Below are 25589 nucleotides of genomic sequence, written 5' to 3'. Positions count from 1 at the left end.
TTTTCAATGCTAATTCCTAGATGTCATTTAGCTTTTCATTATTGCATTATGTGATGCATGTGTGTGTATGTGCATGTGTGTATGTGTGTGTGCATGTGTGTGTGCATGTGTGCATGTGCGTGTGTGCATGTGCGTGTGTGCATGTGTGTGTGCATGTGTACGTGCAAGTGTGTGTGCATGCATATGTGTGCATCTTTGGGTCTATGCATATCTGCGTCTTGTATTTGTCACCTTGTCTGTCTGAATTTGCATTTGTGTATATTTGTGTTACACATTATCTCCTGCATGCCTCTCTGTGGTCGCACTTTTGCATGGTCTTTTGGTGTCTGTACGCCTATCTGTGTTTATTTGGGATGTCTCTCTTTGTGTCTTTGTGTCTCTCCGCGCTGGTATAGGTCTGTGTATGTGTTTGTGTGTGCCTGTGACTGGCTTATCTGTGGGTCTAACTTGGTGTGTGGGTTTAGCGTGTGTGTGTATGTGCATGTTTGGTGAATACTTATCTTTTCCACATCGTCCTGCCTTCTTCCATGGATGGAGCTAGATCATCCATTTTCCAGCTTGAGGAGAATTATTGGCTTGGACTTCTGTGGCAAGAGGCAGCCATCCTTGCGATGTGTCTGAGGTGTGGCTTGCAGGGCCTCTTGAGACTGTCCCCACTCTCAGCTCTGTGCAGCTGCATGCGGAAAACATTCGAAAGGGGCAGAATTATCTGTGCTGAAACCAATGCCTCCTTCCTGTCTGCTGCTAGCAAGGATTACACACAGGCATCTCCACAACCGCATTCTCTAGTCCCTGCAAAGGAAGGTGCTTAGAGCTAGTGAGACAAAAGCAATCTATTCTCCTGCCAGCTCTGGGTGATTCCCTGCCCTGAAATTTTCTTGTGTCCAGGATAAGCAGCATTATTGGTTCTTTCGACCAAGTTCTTATCTTTAACCAGCTTGCCCTCTGCTGTGCTCTGCATCCCAGCCCCATTCCCCCAACCTCTCCACCCCGCCGAGCTCCTTAGAAGGGCTCAATTCTTCTACCTTATCATGTTGTTGAGAGTCAAGACTTTGGTGGCAGCATTAATCATTATCACCACCATCATCAATTCACCACTTAGGTTTACATGGCACTGTAAAAAGTACAAAGGTCTAGGGCTTTGTACACATTACCTCCTTGAATCCAAAAGTGAAACCCATGACGCAAGTAAAATAATTTCCATTTTCCCAGCAGCAGCTGTTATTGACTGAACCATCACAACAAGTCAGGCGTGATGCTAAGTCCTATATATGAATTAAACTACTTAATACTCAGCACAACTCGAGGAAATAGATATTATTATTATCTTCATTTAACAGACAGGGAAATACCGAGAGAGGTTAAGTACTTTGTCTGAGGTCACCCAGCCAGTAAGTGGCAGAGCGAGGAATAGAACACAGACATTTTAGATGCGGAGCCCGTATTCTTAGCCACCATGGAGTGGAGAGATTATGATCTGGCCAAGCTCCTAGAGTTGTGCGTGGTCTGCCTCCTTGAGTCTCCTTGGACCAGTGGTGCTGAGGATGGACTTAGAGCTTTGGATGTGGCTTAAGCTGCTGGTTCAGCAAAACAGTCTCTTCTCAGATGCTTCCCTGTTCTTCCAAATTGACTGTTGGTTTACCTGTAAAAACACACACACACACACACACACACACACACACACACACACACACACACACACGTGTCCTGCCACTGGCTCAGAGAATATCAATGTCAGGATGGAGCAGTTGTTGAGGGACAATGGGGAAATGTTGGTCAAATGACTCAACATTTCAGTTAGAAAGGAGGAATAAATTCAAGAGAACGATTGGACATCATGGTGACTGTAGCTAATCACGATGTACAGTATGCTTGAAAATCACTGAGAGTAGGCTTTTCAGTGTTTTTATCACACGCAAAAAAGATAAACACGTGAGGTCATGCATAAAACACACACATAAAACATTTTAACTTGCCAATTTAAAAAATAATAACTTTTGAAAAGGCAGTGTCATCCTTGACTCCTCTGATTTTCTCATACTTCCCATGTGATACCCTCTTGAGTCTGGCTAACTCTATCTTTAAAAGATCCAGAATTCAACAACTTCTCTCCACCCTGTGGCCACCACTGTCCTGCTGCAGGCCACTGTTTTCTCCCTTATTGCAACAGCCTCCTAACTGGTTGTTTTGGTTCTGCAGTTCCCTAGATTGTCCATTCTCTATGCAGCAGCCAGATTGACTTTTTTTTTTTAAGACAGAGTCTCACTTTGTCACGCAGTCTGGAGTGCAGTGGGGCCATGATGGCTCACTGCAGCCTTGACCTCCTGGGCTCAAGCGGTCCTCCTGCCTCAGCTTCCCAAGTAGATAGGATTACAGGCATGTGTCACGAGGTCTTGTTATTTTTAAATTCTTTTTTTAATAGAGATAGGGTCTCTCTGTGTTGCCCAGGCTGGTCTTGAACTCCTGGGCTCAAGTGATCCTCCTGCCTTAGCCTCCCCAACAGCTAGGATTACAAGCATTAGCCATGGTACCCAGCCAGAGTGCCCACTAACACTCACGCTGTTCACGCTATTTATCTTCTCCAAGTCTTCAGTGGCTCCTCTCTCCCTCACAGTATAAGCCAAACTCCTTCCTGGAAGACCCAAATGATATGCCCCACCGTCACCTCCTTGGCCACTGCTCTCTTCATTGTTCACTCTGGCCACACTGATTTTTTTTTTTTCTCTCTTGGAGTCAGAGGCTCGCTCTGTTGCCCAGGCTGGTGGGGTGGCACAATCTTGGCTCACTGCAACCTCCGCCTCCCAGGTTCAAGTGATTCTCCTGCCTCAGCCTCCTCAGTAGTTGGGACTACAGGCGCACGCCACCACTCCCAGCTAATTTTTGTATTTTTAGTAGAGATAGGGTTTTGCCATATTGGCCAGGCTGGTCTCAAACTCCTGGCCTCAAGTGATTTGCCTGCCTCAGCCTCCCAAAGTGCTGGGATTATAGGCATGAGCCACCGCGCCTGGCCATACCACACTGATTTTATTCACCCTCAAACATGCCGTGGTCCCAGCCCTTCCTTGGGGCTCGAATGCTTTCCTCTACATTCTCCTGGCCAATCATTTTCTCAGTTAAGCTCTCTTTCCCTCCCTAAAATTTCAACCACTCTTCACCCATTCACAGCCCACTAATTTTCCCTAATTTTTTCTCCTTAACACTGATACTTGTTGAAAAACCTAATGTATATCATGAAGGCTTTAGTGAATAACAGTATATTGCAGTCAGGATTTCTGCTAAATGAGTAGATTATAGCTGCTCTTGCCACACGTGGAAAAACTATGACTAACTATGTGAGATGATGGATATGTGAATTTGTTCCACTATCGTAACCATTTTACTACATATATATCTTATAACATCATGTTGTATACCTTAAATATACACAATAAAATTTATTTAAAAATGTAGTAAGTGTAGGGCTGGGCGTGGTGGCTCACGCCTATAATCCCAGCACTTTGGAAGCCTGAGGTGGGTGGATCACGAGGCCAGGAGATTGAGACCATCCTGGCCAACATGGTGAAACCCTGTCTCTACTAAAATACAAAACATTAGCTGGGCGTGGTGGCAGGTGCCTGTAGTCCCATCTACTCAGGAGGCTGAGGTAGGAGAATGGCTTGAACCTGTGAGGCAGAGATTGCAGTGAGCCAACATCGTGCCACTGCACTCCAGCCTGGTGACAGGCTCTGTCTCAAAAAAATAAAAATAAAAATAAAAAATATACTAAATGTATATGTATATTTATCTTTTTTTTTTAACTTTTATTTTAGGTTTGAGGGTACATGAGAAGGTTTGTTACATAGGTAAACTCATGCCATGGGAGTTTGTTGTATGGGTTATTTCAACACCCAGGAATTAAGCCTAGTACCCAGTAGTTATCTTTTCTGCTCCTCTTCCTCCTCCCATCCTCCCCCCTCAAGTGGACCCCAGTGTGGGTTGTTTCTTTCTTTGTGTTCATAACTTCTCATCATTGAGCTCCCACTTATAAGTGAGAACAGGCATTATTTTGTTTTCTGGTCATATGTTAGTTTACTGAGGATAATAGCCTCTATCTCCACCCATGTTCCTTCAAAAGACATGATCTCATTCTTTTTTATGGCTGCACAGTATTCCATGGTGTATATGTACCACATTTTCTTTATCCAATCTGTCATTGATGGTCATTTAACTGGATTCCTTGTCTTTGCCATTGTCAATAGTGCTGCAATGAACATTCACATACATGTATCTTTATGGTAGAATGATTGATATTCCTCTGAGTATATACCTAGTAATGGGATTACTGGGTCGAATGATAGATCTGCTTTTAATTCTTTGAGGAATCACCATACTGCTTTCCACAATACTTGAACTAATTTACACTCCCACCAACAGTGTGCAAGTGTTCCTTTTTCTCCACAATCTTTCCGGCATATGTTATTTTTTGACTTTTTAATAATTATCTTGCTTATTTTCTATCTTCCTGCTAGCAGGGGTATAGGAATTGCTGAGAGTTGATAATTGCCATATACTTAGCTCATAGCGGGCACTAAGTTTATCTCTGCTGAATGACATACATATGACAACAATGTGTGTAATACAAAATTCAAAAGGCACAAGAGGAAAAGTTCTTTCCTACTACTATCCTATGGCCACATATCTTCACTCCCATGAGGAAACTGCTATGGCTGGTTACCCTGTATCCTTCCAGAGATATTCTGGGTAAACAAATGAGTGCGTATATGTATCTGTATCTATATGACCTACATTTAGATCTCTCTGCATCTGTAGCAGTATCATACATAGTTTTTCTCCTTCCTTCCTTCCTTCCTTTCTCTCCCTGTCTTTCTTTCTCTTTCTTTCTTTCTTTCCCTCTTTCTTTTTTCTTTCTCTCTCTCTCTCCCTTTCTCATTCCTTTCTTCCTTCCTTCCTTCCTTCTTTCTTTCTTTCCTTCTTTCTTCTTTCTCTTTTTCTTTTTTGAGATAGAGTCTCACTCTGTCACCCCGGCTGGAGTGCAGTGGCAAAATCTGGGTTCACTGCAACCTCCATCTCCTGGGTTCAAGTGATTCTCTTTCCTCAGCCTCCCAAGTAGCTGGGACTACAGGCGTGCACCACCATGCCAAACTGATTTTTGTATTTTCTGTAGAGACAGGGTTTCACCATGTTGGCCAGCCTAGTCTCGAACTCCTGACCTCAAGTGATCTGCCTGCCTCAGCCTTCCAAAGTGCTGGGATTACAGGTGTGAGCCACTGCGCTCAGCCTCATCTTTCTTTCTTTACTTAGTATCTTGGCAATTATTTCACATCAGGACATGAAGAACAACTTTGATCTTTTAAATATCTGTGTATTATGTAATTGTGTGAGCATGCATATATCTTTGCACCAGTTCCTATGGATGGATTTCTGGGCAGCTCCCAATAGTTAACTCTTGCAGACATGACTGTGTCATTTCTCACAAATGCAAGTTTATCTACGGGGTAGATTTCTAGATGTGGAACTGTATTGGCTGACTTAAAAAAAAAATCAATGCTTGGCAAGTTCAGCTTTCCCAAACAGGTGTTCATGACATGCTGATCCAGAGGGTAACCATGCTGCTATGTATCATTACGTCAAAATTAAAAGTCAACTCATTATAGAGTTAATGGGGACTTTTGATGGCTGCTATATTGGAAACTCTGCCCCTACCATTCTTCCTTCTCACCTTGAGGAGGTGCCATGGGTCTCAGAGTCTATAAAGGCAGAGGGTTTCATGGGATGATTTTCTATTCCCAATAGCATGGGACCTAATTTTCATTAAAGGTCCACAGGCCAGGTGTTAACTTCTTTAATACGTGCCTCTAGACTTCACGTTGCCTATTGTCTCACCAGAGGTTATCGTCCCTCTTTTTGGGCAGCTGGATTTGGGGGTGGGGTGTGGTTAGTAGGGTTGCTTTCTGCAGCGACAGACTGACAAGAGGAAGGGGAAATTCAAATGTTAGCTATGTTTGAGTGCTGTGTGAAGTTCTGGACGTGATTATGATTTCCCTTTCTGTAAAATGGGAAGGATAGGCCGGGCGCGGTGGCTTACGCCTATAATCCCAGCACTTTGGGAGGCCGAGGTGGGTGTATCACAAGGTCAGAGGTTTAAGACCAGCCTGCCCAACATACTGAAACCCCGTCTCTACTAAAAATACAAAAATTAGCTGGGCGTGGTTGCACATGCCTGGAATCCCAGCTACTCAGGAGGCTGAGGCAGGAGAATCACTTGAACCTGGGAGGCAGAGGTTGCAGTGAGCCGAGATCGCGCCATTGTACTCCAGCCTGGGTGACAGAGTGAAACTCCATCTCAAAAACAAACAAACAAAAAAAAACAAAATGGGGATGATAACACCTATCCCTCATGGGTCTGTTCTGGGGATTTCATTAGCTCATGCTTCATTTATTAAAAACATATTTATGAAACCCCATCCATGTATGCAGCTATTCCAGTCTTTAGGGAAGAAGACCTAAAGAAAATCTACAAAATTTTTGACCCCATGGATATTATTAGCTTTGCATTGTGTCTGCAATATAATAGGGTCCCTTTACTTGGGGGTTTCTCACATTTTTCATCATCAGAGGGTAGCAAGGGACACCTCCTATTTGGGAGAGTTGGAGCGGAGGAGGAGGCATTTGAGTTTGCCTTGAAGGATGAGGACATAGGCTCCAGGAAAGGAAGAGGGTGGGGTGTGGGGACCTTATCGACATAGGGGAAACCATGGGAGAGGACAAGGAGATGGAAGAACAGTAAGGTGTTTGCACAACGGAAGAATCTTGTTCATATCATAGTAGGTAATCCTCCTACAGGGATGTCATGCTGGTGCTCAGACTGTACTCTGCCCCTCGCTGTGGTGAATGGCAGACACCACAGCTTTCAGCCTGTTTTCCCATTTCTCAATGCTCACTTCTTTCCTTGCTCTGACCTCAGCCCCAGCCGTTCTGATCCATTGCTCCCCACATCCTCCTGAGCCTCATTCCACAAAACACCCCATGAATTTCCTCCATCTCTTCACACTCGACAACTTGGGTGTTTTAGCAAAATAGTCCATGATAGGGCTTTTTTTTTTTTTTCTCATGTGTGTTCTTTGTCTGTTTCTTTATGGTTTTTAATCATTCTCTTTTGACTTGATAAATGAGTCTTGGCTTCTCACAACTTTCCTGAAGACCCAGGGTAAAAAATACATCCTTTCTGGTAGCTATAGCAGTTGTTAGGGAAAAATGAGCCTCCTCGATAGTCAATAAATCACTTTGTCACCTTAATCTTTTATTGATCTCAATAAAAGTTGTATTTTGTTTCTTAACAAAAATCCACCACGGAAGACATCCCATACAGGTGGGGGCACGATGAAAGTCATGGTCAAGGCATCACTTCGTATTGTTATTTATGGGAGAGCAAGGGTTTTGAGGGAGCCAACGAGGGGAAGGCTAGAGACTAAGAAACCGTTCTTGTAAGTGATACATCATATTTTAAAAGAAACACTTGACTCTAGGTAGCCCACTCACAGATAGAACTCTGAAGCTGTATTTTATGCAGACTTTATAAACAGGTCATAAACATCCTGCTCCTCCAAGCCAGGAAAGCAAAGGCTCTTTCCTGCTTGCTAGTAATGCATCTGTGCGGTCAGTTAAATTTAGAATGTGGCAATCATTGTGCTTTGAGCTGGTTTGATCTCTAGGGGACGATTATCAAAACGGGTTACTCATGGAGGAATGAGGAACGTTTCACCAAGGCTTAGAACCAAGCTTTTGTTAAGGTTTGGAATAAACATATTTTCCCTTCAGTGCAGAGGTAAAGAAATACTAATAAAAAATGGTCTTCAATGTTAACATTTGTGTCTTGCTCATGTTTCCTTAGGGCATAAGTATAGGGAGGATTTGGTGATTTGGGCTTAAAAAAAGAAAGAAGTAAAACAGCGGTGCAAACACACACTTGTCTTTCTTGTCTACTTTTTCTGTAAGACTTGACTCAGTTGTTATCTCTGTCAGGGACTTCATCCATGGGACTTTGGTTTTCTTTCTTTTTTTTTTTTTTTTTTTTAAGACTGAGCCTCTCTCTGTCATCCAAGCTGAAGCGCAGTGGCATGATCTCAGCTTACTGCAGCCTCCATCTCCTGGGTTCAAGAAATTCTCTTGCCTCAGCCTCCTGAGCAGCTAGGATTACAGGTGTACACCACCACACCTGGCTAATTTTTGTATTTTTAGTAGAGATGGGGTCTTGCCATGTTAGCCAGGCTGGTCTTGAACTCCTGACCTCAGGTGATCCACCCGTCTGTCTCAGCCTCCCAAAGTGCTGGGATTACAGGCATGAGCCACTGCGCCTGGCCAACTTCGGTATTTTTATTCTTGCCAAACATCCTGTGACTTCCTATGTCATAGTGTTATCACAGTGTGTGGTATAAATCAGGCACAATCTCTGACTTCATGGAGCTTACATTCTTGGGTGAAACAATATGCTTGGTGCATAGTAGGTACCCACAACATGAAAGATGAAGTTTGTCTTTATTTCTTTCATCTGACTGAAGGCTGTCACAGCATCTCTGGGCTCAAACAATGTGTGTGTGCAGGGATTAAGGGTGTGTGTCTGCGGGGATTTGTGTGTGCAGGGATTAACAATGTGTGTGCATGTGTGTCTGTGTGTGCAGGGATTAAGGGTGCATATCTCTTAAAGAAAAGATATGAACCAAATGATCACCAAAGTACAATTTAAACACTTGGTATAATAATTGCTACCATTAATCGAGGGTTTTCATTGTGCCAAGCACCAGGGAATTGTATTCATAATAGATGGCATTTTTTGGGTGCTTACTATGTGTCAAACACTTTGCTAAGCTCTTTTTATGTATTCTTTAAATCTTCATAACAATCGTAGAATGTAGGTACTCTGATGATCCTTGTTTTACCAAAGAGGAAATCATGGCACAGAGAGGTTGGGAACATGCCCCAAGTTCCCACAAGTAATGGCAGATCCAGGTTTGAAGCCCAGGCACTATAGTCCAAGCTCCTCACCATTTCACTTTTCTCTGTGCCTCTAAAACTTTTTTTATCCTAATTATCCTAAAGGTGAAATGCTCATTAATATTAGTTCAAGCACTCTTGGATCTTCTTTGATATCTAAACCAAAGAGGAAATCTGTTCTGGCATCAACTTGGCCAGTCTGGGATATTGGACCGAAACATGTTTACAAACTAAAGTTGGATCGCCTTTGATCAAATGGGCCTCAGATTCCTTGAACACTGGGTATCTCCTTATGACTGCTTTTTGACTGCTTTTCCATGTGGCTGTTACTTAAGCATCTCTGATGGTTAAAAGGAAAGATTCTCTAGTGGCACTTACCAAAACATCAATTAAAGGGAAGATTCAGGGGCCAGGCGTGGTGGCTCACACGTGTAATCCCAGCACTTTGGGAAGCCAAGGTGGGTGGATCACCTGAGGTCAGGAGTTCGAGACCAGCCTGGCCAACATGGTGAAACCCCTGTCTCTACTAAAAATATAAAAAAATTAGCTGGGCATGGTGGTGGGTGCCTGTAATCCTAGCTACTCGGGAGGCTGAGGAAGGAGAATTGCTTGAACCCAGGAGATAGAGGTTGCAATGAGCCGATACAGAGCCACTGTACTACAGCCTGGGTGATAGAGTGACACTCCGTCTGAAAAAAAAAAAAAAAAAAAAAAAAGGAAGGATTCAACAGGACCCCAGATACCATGGTCTTTCTGGAAAGCATTATCTCTTCTTCTGTGTTCTACTTGAAGTAGGATGGGCTTTCTAAACTAAATAGCGTATGTAACCTGAGATAGGCCAGAGAATGGAAAAATGACTCTAGAAGATTTTTTTGTTGTCTTTTTTCCCCATCCATATGCAGCGATTTATCCAGTTGCAGATTGTGGAAAGCCCAGGCCTGCACACATTCAGAGAAATATAAAGCACTATATAAAACAAAGGGGGTTGTTAGTAAAACAGATGCAGTGTTAATTGCACTTGTGAGAGTAGCGTAAATAAAACAATAGATGTGCTAGAAAATCTTTTATGATGCTCAGATTTTACAAAACTGGTTTCTCTGCAAAGGTAAAGAAAAAAATCACAGCACAATTACTAGAATGAGATCTTTCTAAAAATTATTTAGATTGATGCTAATGAGGCCAGTGACTTTCAATGTGTCATTCATTTTCTTCATTCGACAAATATTTGCTGAAGGTCTGCTCTATACCAGACCACATGCTCAGTGTTTATGATCATAAAGCAGAATATCTAGCCATTGTCTTCAAGGAGCTCCATGTTTAAATGCCTAAGTAGATATTTAGGGAAGTGGTTCTCACTGGGTCGTGGTTGGGGGTGTGGGGTGAAAAGGGAATTTGGCAATATCTGGAGACATTTTTCATTGTAACAACTGTGGGCCGGGCGCGGTGGCTCACGCCTGTAATCCCAGCACTTCCGGAGGCCGAGGCGGGCCGATCAAGAGGTCAGGAGATCGAGACCATCCTGGCTAACGGGGTGAAACCCCGTCTCTACTAAAAATACAAAAACAAAATTAGCCGGGCTTGGTGGCTGATGCCTGTAGTCCCAGCTACTCGGGAGGCTGAGGCAGGAGAATGGCGTGGATCTGGGAGGCGGAGCTTGCAGTGAGCTGAGATCGCGTCACTGCACTCCAGCCTAGGCGACAGACAGAGACTCCGTCTCAAACAAAACAAAACAAAACAAAAACAAACGAACAAACAAAAAACAACTGGGAAGAGAGTGCTATTGGCACCCAGTAGGTAGAGGCCAAGGATGCTGTTAAACATACTACAGTGCACCGGACAGTCCCACAACAAGGAATTATTTGGCCCCAAAGGTGCATAGTGCCAAGGCTGAGAAACCCTATTTTATATTAGGTTAAGTGAGTTCTATAATAAGGGCACAAAAAGGTTCTATGGAAGCCCAGAAAGAGAGCAACTAAATCAGCCTCATGCATTGGAAAGGTTTTTATGAAGAATGTGACATCTGAGCTCAGCCTTCATGGATTAATAAAAGCTTATTTGCTATGGAGGAAGGGGAAGGGCATTTATAGCATGGGGACCAGCATGTGCAAAGGTCTAGCAGCATATAGGAGCAAGGTGGATTTAGGGAATGATAATAGCTTCAATAAGGCTGAGGCTTAGCATCTGTGGAGCAGAAGAGGGGCAGGGGTACAGCAAGACAAGTCCACTGAGATGATATTGCAAAGCTCTTTCAATGCCGTACAGAACTCAGGAACCTTCAGTAGGATCAGGGGTCAGCAAACTACGGCCCAAGGACCAAATCGGGTCCATTGCTTGGTTTTGGATGGCCCGTTAGCTAAGAATGGTTGTCCGATTTTAAAAGGTTGAAAACAAAAATTGAAAGAAGAATATTTTGTGACATGTGAAAATGATATGTAATCCAAATTTCAGCTTCCGTAAATAAAGTTTACTGGAACACAGCCACACTCATTTGTTTATTTTTTGCCTGTGGCTGCCTTCACACTCCAACAGCGGAGTTGAGTGGTTGTGGCAAGAGACCACATGGCTTGCAAAGCCTAAAATATTTACTATCTGTCCCTTTACAGAAAAAGTTTGCTGACGCCTGAGTTAGAGAATTGAGAATAATGTGATCACACTACAAAAATCACTATGGCAGCAGTTTGGAAGATGACCCGGAAGCTGAGAAATAACAGGTGGAAAACTGTTATTAGTCCAAGCCAGATATTTATTAAGATAATGTATCAGTCAGGATATGCTAGATTGTGCTGCAGTAACAAGTACAGATTTCACTGGATTTCAAGTCTGGTTTCTCACTGGCAATTCATGTCTGTTGTAGGCTAACTGGGGTTCTGCTCCTTTCCATCCTCATTCAGAATCCAGACTGACAGAGAAGGCTTTATCTAAACTATTTTAGCTTTTGTGGGAGAGGGCAAAATAGACATAGCAAGTCACAAGCTGGCTCTTATAGGTTATGCCCGATAGAGACACACAATGCTTCTACTCATATTCCATTAGACAAAGCAGGTGCCATGGTTACTCCTGGGCTCAATGAGGCAGGACTGTAAAATCTTCCCATAGGGATGGGCACCACAGGCAGAAGCAAAATTAATAGAGATGAGGAGACAGAGCCTCTTGACATTAGACAGAGACAATGGGTGGGAAGAAGGAAGGAGAGGGCAGATATTAGGGGTGTACCTTGTTTTCTGCCTCTGATGCTTTGGTGCATGGTGATGGCATTCACTGAGATGGGTGGTCCAAGGAGAGACTGGGAAATAAGATGATGAATTCATTCGGGGCCAGGTGAATTAGGGGTGCCTGTAGGAATTGAGATGGGGGTGTCTAGTTAAGCATCTGGAAAAGTAGATTTGAACCTCAAGACAGGTGTAAGAAACAGAAATTGCCATCAATTTTATTTCCCTTGTGGTTGTAAAAAGTGATTGTCTTCCTAAGTGAGATGACAAGGTAAGTAAAGTGCTTAGCATACTGCCTGGCACAGAATAAGATACCATTAAAGATTTTAGCAATTCTTATTTTTCTTATGAATCAAGTGGAACCATGGAAATAATTCAAAAGCCGATTAATGATCTACCTTGCCTAATTCAGCCACATGGTCATTCCAATAAAACTGCTTGATGATACACCATTTAAAAAATAAATTCCTCCTGACCTGGAGCTAGTGTTATTAAGCACATAGCTTACTAACTTACATATCCTTACATAACCCACAGTCACTCCTGCGTTTGGATGGGATCACAATGCTATTAACCTGAGCAGATTTCCGAATAATTGAAATTCTGTAAGGATTCATATCTTTCCAGTAAAGTAAACAATGAGTCAGCCATTATTACTGTGTGTGAGAATTCCAGAGTTCAGGGCACATGTCAAAACTCAGGACGAGGTTTCAGGGACTGTCTATACTTTGTATTTCCCAACAGGTTAAGAAGAGAAATACACAGCAGCCCAGCCTGTAACACTGTTTGTTTACCCTGGGAAGGACAGGGTTTTTACCTCTGATAGAAGTAGTGGGCTTAGTAGAATCTAAGTTAAACTAAGCAAAGTTAAAATTAGAGATTTACAGGTAGACACAATCACATATCAGTATTGGTTTTTGTCTTCCAAAGCCAGTCAATTTTGGGGAGTAACTCCATCCATTTATTCAACAAATATTTGAGTTCTCTATATCCCAGGCCACTGATGTAGAATTTGGGGGAAAGGGTGATAAATAAGACAGACAAATTCCATGCTCTTACTTTCTGGAGGGGGATAGACATCAACAGATAAACAAATACATAGGTAATATAATGTTAGGTTATGATAACTTCAATGAGGGGAAAAAGCAGAGGAGGGTAGAGGGTTCATATGACATGGAAAACAGTATGTTTCTGTGTATGGTGTCCAGGTGTCCCTGTGTTACATTAAACAGGACTTTCAGGAAAGCTCTTATAAGGGGGTACTGCCTAGGCAGAGTTTGATGGAGAAAGATAGAACCATGGTGACGTTTCGATAGAATAGCTCTAATCAGAAGAAAGACAACATGCAAAGGTCTTGGGATAGGGAGGTACTTGGTGTGTTCAAAGAGTAGCAGAGAATCCCAGGTGAAGAGGTTAGACTGAGCTGAGGGAGAGGGCGGGGAGTTGTGTTCATGCAGGATCCCAGGGAGCCATTCAAGGGAAGCAGCCTGGAATTTATGAAGCCGATGGGGAGCAACTGGAGCACTGAGGGCAAGGCAAGGCAGCAGCATGATCTGATTCTCATTTCATAAGGACCTCCTGCCTTGACTGCTTGATGGAGAGGAGATTGTAGGATGGCAAAGGTGGAAACAAGGAGGCCAGTGATGAAGCGACTGTGGGTGCCCAACGACGAGGGTCATTGTGGAGGTGAGAAACATATTATTCGGGTACATAGTTTGAAGTCGGAGTAAATAGAATTTGCTAAGAGATTGAAAGTGGAGTTTGGGAAAATAAGAGGCACAAAAATGACCCCATGTATTTTACATCGAGCAACTGGGTGCTGTCATTCATTGAAATGAGGAACAAAGAGAGAAGAGCAGGTTTTGCTGGGTCAAGAGTTCTTTAGCCCTCTACATAGCCAGGGCCATGTATCCAGGAATAATTTATATCCTTATAACACTTGACATTTTGCAAGAACAATTTCATGCCAGCCATATGAGCAAGGCGGGACTGATGCTATTTGTTTCCATTTTGTGAGTGAAAATAACCAAGGCTCAGAAAGAGTAAGCCAGAGATAGCATAATAGATGGGACTATTTTGAAACACAAGACAGAAACCAACTCCACCTAGCAGAGGCACAAAAGAAAATGTATTGGCTTTTGAGAATGGGGTATCTAAGGATGGAGTTGGCTTTGGCTGTGGCTGGGATTCATGGCGAGTACTGTCCATCTGTCTGTCTGTTCATCTGTCCTTCCAAGATGTTACCTTTCAAGTCAAGGTAAATGTCCGGAGCCCATAGAAAGAGAACACAGAAGGCTCTGTGCATATATTCTTCCAGGATGACCTCCCTTTCACATGCTGAAAGACTCCTGCAATAACATCACAGCTAAACCCATAAAGATGGAAGATTGAGTGTTCAGCGAGTTGGCTGACAGGCTCTAGTTTAATTCTGATCTGGGAGAGGGGAATCCATCGGAACCCTTGTCACCTCACTGCCAGAAGAGATTGCCTTCTTTCTGCTCAGGAAACATAAAAGACTTCCTGCCTCCCAGAGAAGCATTTTCCCTGAAGCCACTCACTGCCGGCCCTTCTGGGTCAGAAATCTCCTGGACTTGGCTTCAGCTGGAGCTGACTTACAGGGAGGCCACTGCTTCTGTGTTGAGATTGGAAGGATTTTCAGCTAGGTGCCTCTGTACTCAAAATCCTAACAGTCAAAAGTTATTCAGCAGGTCTTCAGCTGTCATTGTTCCCCCTGGCTTCTCCTTTTGGAACATAGAAATATCCTAAACTCTTTGTCATTTCAAGTTACTTATGCCTTCTTGTGATTGACATTCTCATATACCCTCATCTTCAAACCTCCTCCTCTTTGTGTCCACATGACACGACAACCTGCTTGCTTTCTTCCCATCTCATTGGCTGTTTCCTCTAAGGATTCTTTGCTGATATCTCCTTCCCCATCACCTACCAATTTCAAAATACTGACATTCCTCAGGCATCACTCATGGGTCCTGTTTTCTACTCTATCTGGACTTTCCCTAGATGAGATCTCATCCATTCCCTGTGGTGGAGACCATTGGCTTCCTACTTGTTAGTTATCCTCCCTTCTCTGTTAATAGATTTTCATTTGGTTTAAGTTGGGACAGGGCATGTCTTCAGGAAAAGTGGATGACTCCTCCATCCCTAGTGGATGATCCATTACGGGATCTAAGCCAATCATGAGGGACCTAATGACCCTTTGCTCTTGATTGGTTTAGGGGTGAACATGTGATGCAGTTCTGACCAATGGGATCTTAAAGGAAGCTGGGATTCTGGGAGAAATTTCACGCACACTTAACAATTTCAGCCACCTTGAATATTTACACGCTCCTGAACAGTTGAATAAATTCTTCCTTAGGCCTTGAATGTTGTTTCCCATGTTCTCTAGCTGATGGAACTTTGACTCATGCTTCAAGATCCCATGCAAATGCCACTTCTTCTCTGTAGCTCTCTCCGGCACTTTTTTTTTTTTTTTAAATCTCCAGGCTTTCTCCTCTGTGCTCCTGCAGTATCCCACACCTGTATCATGGGATCAATCAGGTTGCACGGTGAGTGTGTGTCTTTCTTTCTCAACTTTAAGCTTGCCCAGGACAGAGATGCTGGCTTGTTTATTTTTGAAACCATCCCAGTGGTTGGCACTCTACCTGACTTGAAGAAAAGTTTCAATTAAAATGAATGAAAAGTGCTATTGAGTGCAACAAGAAAAGATAGGTGATAATGACAAGACGAGCAACAGAGCCACATAGGGGAAATCAAGGGAGACACACAACCCTACTTTCCTGATATTTGCAGGATATTCACAGTCCTCACTGGGTCCTGCCTGCTCTTGTCCCTGATAACCTCTCTACCTAAAGTTTCTTACCACAAACTCACACTACTGGAAGCTTCAAGTTTTTTTTTGTTTGTTTTGCTTTTTTTTTACTTATTTTGTTTGCATAATTTCAAATTTTATTTTAGATTCAAGGCTGTAAATGTGCATGTTTGTTACATGGGACTATTGCATGACACTGAGACTTAGGGTACGAATGATCCCACCCAAGTAGTGAGTGTAGCCCCCAGTAGGTAGTTTTTCAGACTTTGCCCCACACAGTGACCCCAGTGTCTATTGTTTCCATCTTTATATCCATGTGTACCCAATTTCTAGCTCTCACTTATAAGTGAGAACACTCAATATTTTGTTTTTCATTCTTGAGTTAATTTGCTTAAGATCCAGCACATCCATGTTGCTGCAAAGAACATGATTCCATACTTTTTTTATAGCTGCATAGTATTCCATGTTGTGTATGTATCACATCTTCTTTATCCAGTCCACCATTGATGGGCATCTAGGTTAATTCCATGCCTTTGCTATTGTGAATTGTACTGTGATGAACATACAAGTAAGTCCCTTTATCTTTTTTGGTAGAACAATTTATTATAATTTGGGTATATACCCAGCAATGAGATTGCTGGGTCTAATGGTGAAACTTCAAGTTTTAAATCCACATATGTTATATTCTTTCAGGCTGCTGTGTATTTTCACTCTCTATCATTTTGCCTGGCATTTCTTCCCATTTTGTTAACTTTGTTAAACTCCTACTCATCATTCAACACTCTATTCCAATATCACCCTTCTAGGATGCCTTTGCAGGCCACTCTTGAACAGGCTTAATGACTCCATGTTCTGCACTTCCTCTGTCCTTTGAACACAATTTATAGGGTGGCAGCTGTGTCTGTGTGTTGCTCTTCATGCATCTACCTCCTATCCAGGACTGTAGATTCCTGGAATGCAGAGATCATGTTTTCTGTATATGTGTATCTCCATTGCCTAGCTCAGAGTACAGCATATCATGGGTTCACTAAGATTTGCCTGGCTGGGCTGGGCACGGTGGTTTTTACCTGTAATTCCAGCACTTTTGGGGGCTGAGGCAGGCATATCACTTGAGACCAGGTGTTTGAGACCAGCCTGGCCAACAAGTTGAAATCCTTTCTCTACTAAAAATACAAAAAGTAGCCAGGCGTGGTGGTGCACACCTGTAATCCCAGTTACTTGGGAAGCCAGGTGTGGTGGTGCACACCTGTAACCCCAGCTACTTGGGAGGCTGAGGCACAAGAATCACTTGAATCTGGGGGGTGGATGGAGGTTGCAGGTAGCCAAGATCTGGCCACTGCACTTCAAACTGGGCAACAGAGTAAGACTCTGTCTCAAAATAAATAAATAAATAAATAAATAAATAAATAAATAAATAAAGACTTGCCTGGCTGAACTAAATCTCTTGCTTCCTAAGTCCACTGAGACTTCCTCTGATATATCCATTCAGAGCCCACCACTGGATAGTTCATCCTCAATGCATATTTAGTGGGCTTTCCAATGGGCAAATATAATAATAGTCATAACCTGACATTTTGAGCACTTATTATGTGTCAGCATCACTTCAACTCTGTAAGATAGAGGTGTCTACATTTTACAAATGAGGCACAGAAATGTTAATTAACTTGCCCAAGTTCACAGAGCCAATAAGGGACAGAACCAGGATTCCAACTCAGAGTCTGACCCTGTGCTGGGTGCACTTTGGGAATTGATAGCTCCTACCAACCTGTTGTTAGGCCTTTCTGGCGTATTTCCCATGGCCCTGTCCCAGATCTTTGCAGCAGAGCTTTTAAATTCAGAAAACTGCTAGAATCACTCCTTCTTCCTCTGACTGCACAGAGCATGCCAATGTACATCACTGAAAGCCTGTGGCATGGTCTTCAATCTTTCCACACTCAGCCTCTTGCAACCTTGACCTTAGAGTTGTGAAGACGATCCTTACGGGGCTGTTACTCAGAGGAAAATTGAAATGATCCCTGTGGGGAGACTGCAGGATTTTAGTTCCAGCCTTCTAATTTCAGATCGGTCTAGAGAAAAGAACCATGCTAGCAGCCTGATCTGCAAAATTAGGTGAGCTCCGTTCTTTGCCTGTCTTAAGAAATATGGGCGCTGCTCTAAAAATCTTTTTTTAATCTCCTCTCTGGTCCATGTAACAGGAAATTGGTCTCTGCCATAGGCCAATAAATCTCCAACTTTTTATTGAATAGTAAAGAAAGACTTCAAGTCAAGTTCAAATCTCTTTGCTTGGAGCTTCTTACATAATACTGCAGCTCTGATACTTCAGGTCGCAAAAGCTTTAAAAAGGAGAAAAATGGAAAAGCTCTGCAGGTCAGTGGCCCTCAGGGATGATTTTTTTCTCCTTAGAAATAATGGCCTATTACTCTAAAAATCTTAAGCAAGGCATTCCCTTTGTCACATTACAATTGAGATGGGAGGATTAATAACTGGTAGTTTCCAGTTACATTTAAAATGAACATGTAGCAACTTCTCTCAAAAGACGAGCTGCGCAGTCCATGGACCTGTGATGGACAGCGAGTGGCACTGTCCAGGTGCCCTTCCAGGATTGAGGAATTTGTTCCTCCTGCTGCTGGGACTGTTGGTTGACACAGTTCAGCCAGTATGCTCTCCCAGACATGCTTTTGGCCTGAGGAAGCTACATGGACCACGGCCACGTGCTCTTCCCAGGAGCAGCCTGAATGCATTCGGTGAACATGGTGGGGAATAAAGGCCTGGCCCTCTTGCCTCAATCTGAGACAATTCCAAAAGCCATGCGCTCTTCAGAACTCCCCAGGGATTGGCTGAGGTCTTTGTTGCAACTGCATCTCTCCTCCCCTTCCTCAAACTTGGTTTTCTCTTTCTGCAGCAAGGGTTGATTCTGCAGGTGCTCTGCAGCAAACCTCCTGCCTGAAAATCTCAGTCTGTTTCCCTGGGGAATCCATCCTAACACAGACCTTGATGCACCAGTGAGTGTGAGAAAATGAGCACATTTGGGTTGGAAAGACCTTTAGAAGAAAACATACAGAAGGATACCAATTTTATAATGCTTTAAAACACACAAACATATGTACACTGTTTGCAGATGTATAAATAAAGGTGGGGGAATGATAAACACCAATTGCAGAAGAGTAGTTACCTCTTGGGTCAGGGGCAGTGGAGGGGAAGCTAAACAGGGTCCAGGCGCAGCACACAGAGGCTTCAGCTCCACTGGTAAAATTTTATTTTCTTGGCTGGGTCATGGGTGCATGGATATTTATTTTACTATTATTATGTTTTTTGGTGGTCAAGACATTCCATAATAAATACAAAAACCAAGGCCTATTCAGAGATGGAGATTTGAAATCCGGTCCTCCCACTGAAAAGCTGAGTACAGGCGAGTGACTTAACTTCTCTGAGGCTGTAGTTTTGTTCGTAAGAGGCAGAAACTCAAACCAACACCAGTGACTCTAGAAGAACTTAAAAATCAAATTGAAAGACCACCTGAAAGGAAGTCTGTTCTCTTTCCTCCAGGGCTTCATGATGTCTCCCGATTCTATTTCTGTGCGTGTATCTGTCTTATTCTCCTTGTCCCGCAAACGAACTTCCCCTGTTTCCTCGTCCGCTAGTATATTTGGCTGTTCATACCCTCTCCAGTCTACAGCATGACCTTCCTGCTTCAAGTTCCTTATTCCAAAATTCTTATTCTGAATTCCCAGGAGGTGAATCTCCATGGCCTCAGCTGAGATGAACTGTCTTTGCATTGAGTACTTACCCATAGTCCAAGCAGCTGGGGATAGCAGCCCTCATGGCTGGGGATCGGGGATAGATGATATTATTGTAAGATGCTCACTGCCTGTTTTAGGGTTTTCCAGAGAAACAGAACCAATAGGGGAGTCTACTTATCTATCTATCTATCTATCTATCTATCTATCTATCTATCTATCATCTATCTATATCTATCTATCTATCTATCTATCTATCTATCTATCTATCTATCTATCATCTATCTATCTATCTATCTATCTATCTATCTATCTATCTATCTATCTATCTATCTCCTATATATATCCCTGTATACATACAAGGGTGTTACATAAATATCAGAGGCTGTGGAGGGGGTCAGATTCCCAGGAAGGAGGAAGGAGGACAAGTGTGGATAGGTACCCCCCAAACATGTCTCATACGGATACCTACCATTTTCTTGTAGAGCTTTTATATAGTTGAATGAAAATAATGAATATTTAAAATAAGGCTTGGCATTAGAAGGCACTCTGCCAATGTTAGTCCCCTTCCTCACTATGCAAGTGTCACGTTGGGTATATTTCAGATCCAAGGTTGTATAGATTAAAGTTAATAGGGTTGAGAGTCAAATTTCTAGGGTTCAAATTCTGGCTCCACCCCTTACTCTCCGGTCAAGAAAATTAACCTCTTTTAGCTACAAGCTTCTCATTTGTAAAGCAAAGATGTTAATTAGTCTCTCTTCCATAGGGTAGTTGGAAGGAATAAATGAGATGATTTCTGTAATAGACTTTGTGGGTGACTAGCAGAAATAAAATTCTCTGCTGTCGAACCATGATTTTTACTATTATCAATAAACTTGTGAATTAGGAAAAATAAATTCTTGGATAAAGAATTCACACACTGATGAAATTTGGCCACTGCCTTCATGTCCATCAAACCAACCGGGGACACTTTTGCTAGAAATGTCTTGGGCAAGCTACAAACCCAATCCAATGCTTATTTAATTACTGCTTTCCATGTGCCAGATAGTGGGTGAAGCTCAGTTTCTACTGTCCAATTTAAATGCTAAAAGAAATGGAAAGCCAAAACGTTCACCTCTTGTCTGTCTTTAAACTAGAGTGAGTTGCTCACCTATCATTATCACTTGAGTTTACAAAGAAAAGCCCCAAAAGCTAGTTGGTAAAGATAGAATATACAGTACATAAATCTCTAAGAACAGTGCCTGGCACATAATAATTACTATTTAAGTATTGCTATTATGATTGTTACTATTATTGCTATCATCATTATTACTATTATATTTTCTCTCGAGGTCTTACGATGTGCATTTTCCCTCTAGTTCCTCTTCTTTTTAAAAAACATTTTGCCTCCCAGGTGCTTGCCCTGATTGCTGTCTTAAGACCCCCTGGATTTAGTGCTCACCTGTGTCTCTAGTATCTGAACATCTGTTCCTGTTGCTTCATTGCCTTTGTGGCCTCTTTGTTGCGTTTTCTCCTCGTTCCCATCCCAGCCTGCCGGAACCATCCCTCCATATGGTCTCTCGACCCTCCTAGAGGGGAGGGGTATGGGGATTGGGATACAAAGGTTAGAAGTTCAGGCCAGTTGTGGTGACTCATACCTGTAATCCCAGTACTCTGAGAGGCCAAGGTGTGTGGATCACCTGAGGTCAGGAATTTGAGACCAGCCTGGCCAACATGGTGAAACTCCATTTCTACTAAAATTAGCCAGGTGAGTTGGCATGTGCCTGTGGTCCCAGCTACTTGAGAGGCTGAGGCAGAAGAATCACTTGAACCTGGAAGGCAGAGGATTCAGTGAGCCGAGATTGCACCACTGCACTTCAGCCTGGGTGATAGAATGAGACTCTGTCTCAAAAACAAGCAAACAAGCAGACAAAAAACAAACAAAAAACAACAACAACGAGCAAAACACATTAGAAGTTCAGATACCTATAAGTTTGCTTTTATTGCAGGAGAGAGGTACTCCTTAAAGCTAGCCTACCCAAGACAGAAACTCAAAGAGGTTATTTTCCAGGAAGGTTTCTGAAGATATTACTTACCATCTCTCCTCCACAATGTAATCTACAGCAGACATCGCTGCAAAACGAGAGTGACCTACATTTGCACCAAACTTTCCTACCCTCCCAGGAGTGCACTGCTCAACCGTAAGACTCCCTGCTACAGATGGCTTTGTAGGCTGACCCCTGCCACCTTTCCCCGCAAAAAAGCAGTGACTGGTTTGATACCACCCAGACTCCGAAGTAATATTCAGCTTGCAGTCCCTTCCCCTCCCCCAGAAGCGGGTTATTTGCCAGATCCCAAATGGTCCGTGGTTGATGGATGGTGGGCGATTTCTACATCAGCACACCTTGGAGCCCCAGAGCTAACCCTCTGACAGCGTTAGCATAAAAGATTTACATTTATGTTACGAGGGCCACACAAGAATAATAATTTTAAGATACATTGCCTTGGCTGCTGGTGCACCCTGGGAAATCTAGTAGCGGCAGGCACTGGGCTGCCGCACTGTAATTACAAAATGGCAGTGCAGGAGAGGTTTTCTGGAGACAAGCAGCTAGAGACCAAAGCCATCTGCATGCCTTGGCGGATTGAAATTACGGTAATATATGAAGACATTACCTGAAAAACCCGGCACCATTTAAATGATTTACGCTTCAGCCCCAGCAAGCTTTAATTTAAGGATAAAGTCATTCAGAAAGCTAATCTGATAGGGGAGGCATTATTTCACACAGTTAAGTTAATTTACAGTAGCTGATTGTTGTGGTTGCTTTTGGTATTATTATCTTCCTGCAAACAGCTGATCTGCCAGACAGAAGCAATATACTGCTTAACATAGTGTCTTAATTCAGCAGGCAAGCTATCTGTGATAAAGATTTGTTTATAAGCAATAGTAGGAAAGTCATTTTGAGGCCATGCTGATAACACTGATGAGAAATATTTTTTTAAGGGGAAAATGCACAATTATATAAATGAATGAGCCAGCAAGCCATGTACTCGCACGTCGGTCTGTCTAGAGCTGCTGTCCCTAGTGGTCATTTTCCACTGGTGGGATCTTCTTTCCCTTTTCCATGCATTTCCCCCTGTTGGTCTCGTTCTGTGTCCTCTCCATGTTTACTGCAAGTTATCTTTACGCCTGGCAACAACAACTTCCCTGTTGCCAAACTGACTTCTCTTCCATGTCTTTGAGAGAGCCCTGTCTTGGGAGCCCAGTCAATTTGGTTGTCCCATCAGCTGCCTGCTTTCCACGAAAAAAGTGAACTTTGAGATTTGCCTTTAATGACTTTTTTTTTTTCATCTTTGGGAGACCCAGAGTGTGTTCTCTTATGGATGTTGAGGGAGAAAAACATCAGAAAGTGGGCATTTGAAAGGGAATTAACAGATTAGATGGTGGATGAAATTGGAGATTTTGAATGGGTTGCATACAAACCCACTTGCTGTTTCCATTACAAAAGTAAGAAGGTGTGACTGTGTTTTATAGTACCTCAGGCTGTTGAGATGATTCAGGGGCTGTATTAGCATGGGCAGGGGAATTTGTCTAATGGATTGCCTTCATCTGCTTAGAAATGTTTTCTTTAAAGATGAACAGTCTCTTGTGACCTCATGAGTTTATTTCAATAGCAGAGGCATAACTTTAGGAAAGGGGCTGAGGAAATGTTACCCAAAGGATCAGGACATCATTAGCCAATGGTCTAAGAAAGGTGTTTATAGGATAAGCAGCTGTTAGAAAGAACCAGGAAAGTCAGATTCATAAAGCTGAAAGGGGTTTAGCCCAGCCCATTCATAAGTAGCTATCACTTCCTGAGTTCTTATTATTGAGTAGGCACTGTGCTGGATGGATCTTACTCCATCTCATTCCCAGTTTATAGAGAAGTAACACAGATTTTAGAGTGCACATGATTTCTACCAAAATAGAGAGTGGGAGGGGTCACTTCCTATATGAGCTATATGAGAAGCAGCTTCCAAAGATGACCCTAGTGACGCCCAGCTCCATTGTTCATGCCTGTGTGTGGGCCCCACCGTGGAGTGAGGATTATCTCCATTCGACTGTAAGTTAAATAAGGGAGAAAAGCCCAAGGCAAACAAACAAACTAAAACCAAAAGCTTGGCTCGCTCAATTGTAACGCAGCACTGAGCACATTCTCTAGCATCTAATAGTCCCGGAATGTTTCTTGAATAAGTGAATGAATAAATAAATAAATGAGTTTCCTTAGCTATAAGATGAACGTGAAATATCTGTCTTACAGGATTATGGGGAGGAGTTAGTCAGTAAATGTTTGCTTTTACAGCAGAGATGTCTGATGAAGCTTTTCTTCCCTACCTCCTGTGTCCTTACAAGCAGGGTGGACTCCCCCATTTCTGATTGTGTTTTCCCCAGTAAATCTTCTTTATGGTGCTTTGAAGAGCAACGTTGCCTTTTCTGAACATTTTTAAGGGAGGTAGTGGAGTGTTGGCATGGCACGTATCACACAATGAATTCCCCATTTGATTTTTCTTTTTATCCCCAATTTCCACCCTGGTGAGGCCATCAGGAGAGATCCTCTTCTTCATCCCTTCCATTCCCGATGGAGTGACCAGTTCTGTGCCATGTTTTCCACCTGCTTTTCAATATTAAATCTTCCCCCGCCATCAAACACAGTATCTCCTCTCTTCTATGTTAGACCTGGTACCAGGATATAGACGCCTTGCTTCTAACCTATAGCAGGTTTATCAGATAATGTCAATGAAAGCAAGTCTCTCTCTAAGATAAATGCTCACTCCTTCTGCTAAAAAGTATTTTACATAATTATCCAAATCACCTAGGGTCTGGAATATATTAAGTATGCATAAATATCGGTTCCTTCATCTCATATATAAAAGCATATATTACAAAGAAAAAAAGTTAAAAATAAAGACAAAGGGATACAGATATTAGAGAAAGAGTCAGAAAGCAGTGGTGACCCTCTCCCCCAGGATGGAGAAGGAAACTGCTTGCTTTGCACATGAACGGTTGTGACTCATCCCTGTATGATTCCCATCAGTGGGGGCTGCAGGCTTTAAAATAAGATTTGATTCCGTTTCAAGAACCTCTCTTCAGCCTTCGGAGGAAGAAATGGATCTAAGGAAGAAATTCCAATGGAAGTTGCTCACCTTCGAGGGCAGAGATGCTGCCACATAAATTCTGAGACTCTCCAGTCCTCTGGGTTGCACACTACTGGTCCGAGTGCATGCAGGCTTGTTTTATTTCTGACGTGTGAAAGGAAGTCAGCATCTGACACAGCTTGGAGAACTTAGGATGATCAAGCTCTTCCTGGGAAAGGTGTATTCTCTTGTCAAGGTGGGGACACAGTTGTCCGACCCAATTCAACATCCTTTCCCAAGCTGTCCTTCTTCCAGCCAGGTGTCAACTAGCATATACTACACACCAGGAGATGAGCTTTTTAAATCGATTATCTCTGCATTAGACTGTAAGCTTTGTGAGGGCAGGCTTTCCGTCACATACACCATTGTTTTCCCAAAGTCTAGCCCCGTTCCCAGCATTTAGTAACCACTCAGTTCTCTCCACTCCCAAGCACTTTTCTATAGTGATAGGTCAGAAATTCTTTTTTTTTTTTTTTTTTTTTTTTTTTTGAGACGGAGTCTCGCTCTGTCGCCCAGGCTGGAGTGCAGTGGCGGGATCTCGGCTCACTGCAAGCTCCGCCTCCCGGGTTCACGCCATTCTCCTGCCTCAGCCTCCCAAGTAGCTGGGACTACAGGCGCCCGCCACTACGCCCGGCTAATTTTTTGTATTTTTAGTAGAGACGGGGTTTCACCGTT

General features: G+C 42.9%; 1 long non-coding RNA gene across 1 annotated transcript; it reads right to left on the bottom strand.

Moving 5' to 3' along the window:
• Positions 1-253: 253 nt before the first annotated feature.
• LOC105371072 (uncharacterized) lies at positions 254-25160 on the bottom strand. The gene is made up of 3 exons (XR_933045.2): positions 24924-25160; positions 12205-12324; positions 254-673 (listed from the first exon to the last, which is right to left on the bottom strand). It is a non-coding gene; the product is annotated as an uncharacterized LOC105371072 (long non-coding RNA).
• Positions 25161-25589: the final 429 nt, after the last annotated feature.

The sequence above is a fragment of the Homo sapiens genome, chromosome 16 (assembly GCF_000001405.40).
Source record: "Homo sapiens chromosome 16, GRCh38.p14 Primary Assembly".
Taxonomy (NCBI): Eukaryota; Metazoa; Chordata; class Mammalia; order Primates; family Hominidae; genus Homo; species Homo sapiens.
The sequence above is the reverse complement of the archived record's forward strand: the minus strand, read 5'-3'. Positions and strand labels throughout refer to the sequence as shown.